Raw genomic sequence first — 8,645 nt, 5'->3', positions numbered from 1 at the left:
CCCACAAGTCTAAAGAGTAAAAAGTAAAAGGATCAGTTTGCAAAAATCCACTATAGATGTACAGATTGGGTGTGTGTGTAGGGGAAACAGCACACTTGGGATGCATTTGCAGACCTTGTTCCAGATTCAGGTCTAACGTCACCCCCATCCCCAGGAAACCTTCCTTGCTTCTCCAAGTGAAATTAACCTCTTCCTTTTCTGAATCTATATAACCCTCTCTGTACACCTCTGTTAGAGCACAGATTGCTCCTATCTTTTTAGGAGTGCACATATTTTTTAACTGCTTGTGGAGACAGATGGTGTCCTATGGAGTATGGTACAAAGTAGGGATTCAAAAGCTGTTTGCTGACTATTTGGAACCATGTGAAACACCATTTGCCATTCATCAGATGGACTCTGGCTGCTGAAGTGCCCAAGTTCCTGTCATGAGCTGGCTTTACCTACTCCTTTGCACTCCAAGGATGATGTTTTCACTCCTGAGCTGATCTCCTGTATTGTTACCTCTGTCTGATCTGTCATTTGTCATCTTCTTGTGAACCTGTGGCCACTGAAGTTTGAATTCCCAGCCTCTCTCATTTATTCCTTTATTCAGGAAACCATTATTGATGCCTCATTGGTGGCCAGTTCAATGCTCACTATCAGGAACACAAGGATGGTGTCCTGCCCTGGGATCCCTGACTTGGGAAGGGTAGGGAAGAGGTAGAGGGAAGACAAAGACATGAGTGATGGGATACAAGGAGAAGTGATGTGGCCCGAAGAGAATAGCAGGGAGAGTGCTGAGGGGGTCACAGCAGAAGGCTTGGGTTGGGGAATATGGGCTAGGGAAAGTCGTTGACACACCCACATCCATACCAACTAAATTCTCTCTTCCCCTACACTCCTTAGCGTATTTTAACTGGGCCCTTGATTGCCACAGCTGCAAGCTCTGGCCTCCCAATTCCAGGACCTGTGCTGATGGAGTCAGGAAACATTTGAATAGCCTCGGTACAGCTTATTCTACCGCCCTCCCCAACCCTCCTGCCCATTCTCTCCCATTTCATCCCACACAAACACACAAATCTCAAGAGCTCAACACTAATCCCTCCCAGACCTGGGATCTGGGATGCTACCCACTGGACTCTCTTGAATCACCTCTGCTGCAGTTCATACCCAGGACACTGGGCTCAGGAAACCACTCAGGCTCCTGAGCTGTATGGGGGACCTGCTTTTCCTGTCCCTAGGGCTTGGGGCTCACCACACACATCTGTGATGTCCCTAAATTATTAGAGGGGCTCTAGATCTACTGGCCAATTTGCTAAGGTGCTTTGCCTCTGTCTCTCTGGGTTCCCGGTCCCACCCTAGGCACCTCCTCCACCTTCCTGCGTGCAACCACTCCCCTCAGCAAACGTGTGAGGCTGCCAGACCCTGCTGAAGAGCTGTAGGCCCTGCTGGCAGGAGACAGGCTAGCTCCAGAGAGTTGGCTGGAGGGGAATGCAGCAGATCACATTTCTTCAGCTCATGCCAAATAGTATTCAGATGTAGCTTTTCAGACAGACACAAATTGCTCATCCAATAAACACAGAAGGGCTAATCCCAGAACATTTATCAACGTGGGGAAAGATGAGAGAAAGGACAGTCACAAGAGGCCTTTGAGAGCCGACTCAGTGTGGCTGGCGCAGAGGAGGTGGTGAGACTTCCATGCACTTCTGGGGTTTTCTCCTTAAAGGGCCTGAAACCCAGCACCGGGGCTTTGGGATTTGCTGTCGTTGGGACATACAATGCCCGTATTAGTGTATACACTTCTCTGTGGTGAACAGCAATTAAGAAATCTATGTGGGCCAGGTTGCCTTTGTGAGCAGACAGCCCTCACCCCCATGTGACAATTGTCAGGTGGGAGAGCTGGCTGCAAGGACTTCATCAGCTGCCCCCACTGTGCATGCATAAAATGTGCTCATGCCTCTTCCGTATTTCCAGGGTTCACAGGGGACAGTCCCTCCTGAGCTGGAACTTCTTGCTGACAGGTGTAAGAACATGGGGACCAGAGACGCAGGGTCCTCTGCTCGTATCAGAGTGCTGGCCAAGCAACTGAAGTCCTTTGACAGCCCCTTTCCTGCTAGGCCCTTCTAACTAGCTCCATGAGCTTTCCCCCTCCAGGGATTCAGCCTGGAGATTACAGAAATCGGGCCCTGGTCTAACACCAGAGAGAGGAAGGACTAGGTGAAGCCTCTGCAGGCAGCCTGGGTCCTCCCACTGCCTGTGCAGAAACTGTGCCATACCACTGGCACTCTGATGTGTACCCAACAGAGTGGGAGGTGGGCCATGGGAAGGAGGAGGCAATGACTAGATTAGGGTAAGGTCATGAAAGTAACTGCTGACTTTTATATAGTCAGAATATTTTGAAAATTAAAGCTGAGAGAATAAAACTTTCTATGGGGCCAAACTACAGCCTCAGCTGGCAGGGACTCTGTGGCCCCAGAGCTTGATGGGAACAAGGTGCTTTCTGGCATATGGCTGGTCCTGACACAATCAGGAAGTCGAGGGGAATTCCCAGGCAATACTCCCATGATCCCATGAGGCACATGTGCTATTTTGGATATTACTTTCCAGATAAGACACAGTGAAGTTAGGTAACATGTCCGGGTCACCCAGTTCAAGACTGGGAGGCTTCAGAATCTAATCTGACTCATACTGCACACAGGTCTATGGAGAGATATGGGGGTTTCAGGAATATCCAGTTGTGTGGGACTCCTTAAGAGGGTAGAGTTTGGAGGTCTGGGGTCCTCAGGGTTGGGATGCTGTCTTCAGGGCACAATGCTCAGGCAGTTTCCACTGAGGACCTGGGGTCTCTATAATTAGGGTGACTAACCCTACCAGTTTCCCCAGAACTGAGAGGGTTCTTGAGATTTGGGACTTTTCATTTTATAACTGGGATGGTCCTGGGAAAGGCAGGACAAGTTGGTCGTCTACCTGGAACAAAAGGACTGGGCACAGATCATCGCCATGGACTTCGGGACCCACCTGCAGCTCAGCCAAGCCACACATCCCCAGGCTGGGGACCTGGGGAGTGGCATGCTGATTAGGAAAATGGGCAGAGTGGCAGCCAGCTGGGAACAGCTCCCCCAGACCGCAGGCAGCAGTAAAGCAGGGCTACCGTGGCCCCAGAGCTTGACTGGAACAAGGTGCATTCTGGCATGGCTGATCCTACACAAACAAGAAGGTTGAGGGGAGTTCCCAGGTGAGGAATTCCCGGCAGCCAGGGAGCATGAACCAGGTGGCTTCCACTCTGCCTGCAGGAAGGAAATTTCTTTTCTGGTTCCTGAAACTTCACTCCTATCAGGAATGGCCTCTCTCCTACCTACCCACCTGGGGGACTCACACTGACCTGCATTTCTAGGCTCTTAACCTTCTCTCCCTCTCTGACTTTGTCCTGCTTGTTGTAGAACTGTGTTTATTCATCAGTCTCTTTCTTTTGTTTTTTTGTTTGAGACAGAGTCTCACTCTGTCGCCAGGCTGGACAGTGCAGTGGCCCGATCTCGGCTCACTGCAACCTCCACCTCCCAGGTTCAAGTGATCTTCGTGCCTCAGCTTCCTGAATAGCTGGGACTACAGGCGCCCGCCACTGCTCCAGGCCAATTTCTGTATTTTTAATAGAGACCGGGTTTCACCATGTTAGCCAGTCTGGTCTCGAACTCCTGACCTCGAGTGACCTGCCCATCTCAGTTTCCCAAAGTGCTGGGATTACAGGTGTGAGTCAATGCGCCCAGCCAGTCTCTTTGCTTTTGCAGATCTGAAACTCACTGGTACAACACTTGGACGATTTTTAATATAAGGGGATTGAGTTCTAAGGCACAGAAACCATGGGCAGAAATGCTAATAGGCTTCAGGAAAGACCAGAATGGGGGCAAAGAAGCCTCAGGAATATGGGTATTTCTCTTTCATTTCTATGTCCACTTCTCTGTCTGTGGTCTGTTTCATTCTCTCAGCTTTCTTTGCTTCTCTGTGCATTGGCAGAAGGTGGAATGTTTACATCATCTCAATTCCAGCCACACCCAGGGGCCGACTAGCTTTCCGGAATAGCAAATCTAAATTCTCAGGAGAAATCATCTGATTAGCCCAACTTGGGTCACATGCTCACCCCTGGCCCAGACAGCTGTGGCTGGAGGCTGGGGTCAAGCAGTATCAACATGGCTACCCAGGACCCTTCCTAAAGAGGGGCAAGTTTGTGGAGAAAGGAGTCACCCTGAGCTGGCTAGACATGTTTGCTCTCTATCATATATGTTTCCTGAACTGGTAGGTAACTGTGCCTTCTCTTCCCAGAGTTTATAATATTTCTTTTGTGGCTCCCTGGTGGTTGGCTTGATGTTAGTCTCATTCTGGAATATTTAAAAAATTAATTTGGATAATTGTGGGAAGCTATTTAACAAGCCAGGTCTTAAACAGTGTGGCCCATTATCTCTACCTTATACAGCACCCTATCATTATCTCCTTTGCATGATGGTTTAGAGCGTTGCAGCTCAAAGTGTGATCTGTGGATCAGCAGCATTGGTATTGCCCGAGAGCTTGTTGGAACTCCAGAATGCAGTTCCTAACTACTTGAACAGAGTCTGCATTTTAACAGCTCCCCAGGTGATCCACATTAAAGTTTGGTGAGCACCTGGAGGAGGTTCTTGTCTTTTCTCTCCTATTAGACTGAAAATTCTGAGGGCAGGGACTGTATTTACAAACCTCAATTGTCCACTTCCTATGTGTAAAGTAACTTGCTTTGTCTTGCAGGCGACAGAGCTTATCAAATGCAGTTATGAGCGAATTTTAAGCTCAGGATAGTGGTTGAAGAGGGTAAATTAATTACAGTAGTCCACCCTTATCCTTGGGTATATGTTCTCAGACCCCCAGTGGATGCTGGAAACTGCTGATTGTATTGAACCCTACATACATCCTATGTTTTTGTGTGTGTGTGTGTGTGTGTGTGTGTGTGTGTGTACAAGAGTGACTTTATTTTATTTTGTTTTATTTTTCAAGATTGATGACAATTCTTTTTCTTTTTTATATTTCCTTTTTTATTATTATTATACTTTAAGTTCTGGGATACATGTGCAGGATGTGCAGGTTTGTTACATAGGTATACATGTGCCGTGGTGGTTTGCTGCACTCACCAACCCATCACCTACATTAGGTATTTCTCTAAATGCTATCCCTCCCTTAGCACCCCCAACCCCCAGCAGGCCCCAGCGTGTGATGTTCCCCTCCCTGTGTCCATGTGTTCTCATTGTTCAACTCCCACTTAACAAGTGAGAACATGCGGTGTTTGGTTTTCTGTTCCTGTGTTAGTTTGCTGAGAATGATGGTGTCCAGCTTCATCCATGTCCCTGCAAAGGACATGAACTCATCCTTTTTTATGGCTGCATAGTATTCCATGGTGTATATGTGCCACATTTTCTTTTTTCTTTTATTATTATACTTTAAGTTTTAGGGTACATGTGCACATTGTGCAGGTTAGTTACATATGTATACATGTGCCACGCTGGTGCGCTGCACCCACTAACTTGTCATCTAGCATTGGGTATATCTCCCAATGCTATCCCTCCCCCCTCCCCCCACCCCACAACAGTCCAGAGTGTGATGTTCCCCTTCCTGTATCCATGTGATCTCATTGTTCAATTCCCACCTATGAGTGAGAATATGCGGTGTTTCGTTTTTTGTTCTTGCGATAGTTTACTGAGAATGATGATTTCCAATTTCATCCATGTCCCTACAAAGGACATGAACTCATCATTTTTTATGGCTGCATAGTATTCCATGGTGTATATGTGCCACATTTTCTTAATCCAGTCTATCATTGTTGGACATTTGGGTTGGTTCCAAGTCTTTGCTATTGTGAATAGTGCCGCAATAAACATACGTGTGCATGTGTCTTTATAGCAGCATGATTTATAGTCCTTTGGGTATCATCCTATGTTTTTTTTATTTGATAACCAAAACAGCTACTAATGGGTAGCTATCTAATGAGCAGGCAATATACACAGTATGGATAAGCTGGAAAAAAGGATGATTCATGTCCTGGGTGGGATGGCAAGGGACAGGGCAAGATTTCGTCACACTACTCAGAGCAGTGTGCAATTTAAAACTTATGAATTTTTTATTTCTGAAATTTTCCATTTAATATTTTTAGGCCACGGTTAACCTCCAGTAACTGAGACATCGGAAAGCGATGGATAAGCGGGTACTACTGTACATGTTATCTGAATTTTCCTTTAATCCTGCAGGAGGTGGAGGGAAGTTGGGGGTATAGATGAAATAAACATGGCTAAATGTTGATTTTTTTTTTAAGTGGGGTGATGGGAACTTGGAGACTTACACTATTTTCTCTATTTTTGTATATTTTTAAAATTTTCCACAATAAAAATTATAAGGAATGGCTGAAGACATTGTAAGAGATCATCTCGCTTGTCAAAATAAGTTAGTTTCCTAGCCAAATGAAGTAAATCCAAGGCACTAAGAGAATTTCCAAATGAAATTGCTCAATCCTTGTCAGAGACTTTTGGAGGATGAATATAGCGGGGAGAAGTTTGGAACATTAGTCCTGTGTAAATGATTTTTTAATTTTGCAAAAGGAGGAGTGGTAATCAGTTTCCTTCTGTTACTTCAAATCAGCTTATGGGGGGAAAAAAGGGAGGAGTAATTCACCAGGTTACATAACTGGTCAGTCCAGGGGGAGTCTGATACAGCATACCAGGGCGTAACCCTCTAGCTTCCTTTTTGGCTTATTTCTCAGATAGGCTCTTTCCATATAATGGCTGTAATGAGATGGACAGCGTACCTCCAAAATTCATTTCTATCCGAAACCTCAGAATTGAGCTTATTTGGAAATAGTCTTTGCAGATGCAATTAGTTAAGCCAAGATGGGGTCATACTGGATTAGGGTGAGCCCAAGTCCAATGACTGGTTTCCTTATAAGAGGAGAGGACACATCAACAGGAGAAAATCATAGGCAGAGAGAAGGCCATGTGAAGATGAGGGCAGAGAATAGAATGATGCTGCTACAAGCCAAGGAATGCCAAGGATGGCTGCGAGCCACCAGAAGCTAGAAGAGGCAAGAAAGAATTCTTTCTTAGAGTTTTCAGAAGGAGCGTATCCAGCCTGGGCAACAGAGTGAGACCTTGTCTCCACAAAAAAAAATTTTTTTAAATTAGCTGGGCATGGTGGCATATGCCTGTGGTCCCAGCTACTAGGAAGGGTGACAGAGTGAAACCCTATCTAAAAAAAAAAAAAAAGAAAGAAAAGAAAAAGAAGAAGAAGCCTGTCCCTGCTGACACCTTGATATTTTGGACTTTTAGCCTCCAGAACTGTAAGAGAATCAATTTCTGTTGTTTGAAGCCACCAAGTCTGGATAATTTGTTAGAGGAGTCCTTGGAAACTAATACAGCACCCTTGCTACTCCAGACTGGCCATTCCAGAGGAAAGGAAAAGCCTTTTACTCAACATTTGCAGCAGAAGTCCTGGGAGAAGAAGGGACATTGCTCATTAGTCCTTCTTGGGCCACATGTTGATCCTTGAACAAATCAACTGTGGCCAGAGGGGTATAGTGCTCTGATTGGCCAGATATAAGTCACCCAGGCCATAGCGACCCCGTAGTTAGCCTGTCCCAACCACATAGGGAAGAGTGGGAGTCTCTAACAGAAGGAGTAATGTTGAAGAGGAGGCACAAAAAATCAATACCTGTCCATTACAGGAAGACGTTGATTCTGCAAACTACACTCTTATCTAAGAATAGTTTGTGTGTGTGTGTGTGTGTGTGTGTGTGTGTGTGTGTAAGACAGGGTCTTGCTCTGTTGCCCAGGCTGGAATGCAGTGGTGCAATCACATCTCACTGCCACCTCAACCTCCTGGGCTTAGGCAATCCTCTCACCTCAGCCTCATGAGTAGTTGTGACTACAGACACATACCACCACCACGCCTGGCTAATTTTTTTTATTTTTAATAGAGACAAGGTCTCACTATGTTGCCCAGGCTAATCTTGAACTCCTGGGCTCAAGCAATGCTCCTGCCTCAGCCTCTTGAAGTGCTGAGATTACAGGCGTGAGCCATTGTGCCTGGCCAAGGATAGACTTTTAAAGATGTAAAGGAAGTGGAGATTTCTCAGAACAAGCCAGAGCAAAGACTATCACATTTCTTTTTTTAACAGGTCCCTAAACTGCCAGATCACAGTGCTGCATTTGATAGTCTGTTGGCAAACTGGGTCGGCCTTTAACAATCTATGGCATGTTATTCCTGTGACTAAAAAGGAAAATATGGGTTGGATGATAGTACAATTAAAGGGAAATTGAACTTTTTTAAATGACTGGAATGAACCTTTGCCATTATACTTGTCACTCAACAGGCAATCCCCCATCTTATTTTGGAAAATTTTCCAGTGTATATAGTACTGGAGGGCTCAATGCCCTAGCTCCCACCATGGAGGCAGAAAGGGGAAGATTCGTTCCTCCCCTACCTAGCAGCTAGGGCTCAAGCATGTGAATTGGCTCGGTCATTCCCACTGCAGACTCTGAATTCTTAGGAGTGACGCTAAGAGGCAGGAATGGTGTCGAAATTATTCATGGAGGCAGCAGCAGCATGAACGGTCCTGTAGCAGTGGTGTTAAATAATCATGGGCAATGGTGGCCACGGCA

General features: G+C 46.0%; 1 protein-coding gene across 1 annotated transcript in view; it reads left to right on the top strand.

Annotated features, from left to right (window-relative positions):
- The window catches only part of B4GALT1 (beta-1,4-galactosyltransferase 1), an 81,013-nt gene continuing 76,491 nt past the window's right edge, over positions 4,124–8,645 (top strand). The window contains exon 1 of the mRNA XM_047423231.1: positions 4,124–4,269. The gene's annotated coding sequence lies outside the window, so the exon portion shown is untranslated. The remainder of the gene's footprint in view (positions 4,270–8,645) is intronic.

The sequence above is a fragment of the Homo sapiens genome, chromosome 9, assembly GCF_000001405.40.
Source record: "Homo sapiens chromosome 9, GRCh38.p14 Primary Assembly".
NCBI classification, from domain to species: domain Eukaryota; kingdom Metazoa; phylum Chordata; class Mammalia; order Primates; family Hominidae; genus Homo; species Homo sapiens.
This window is presented reverse-complemented; position numbering and strand designations above follow the sequence as displayed.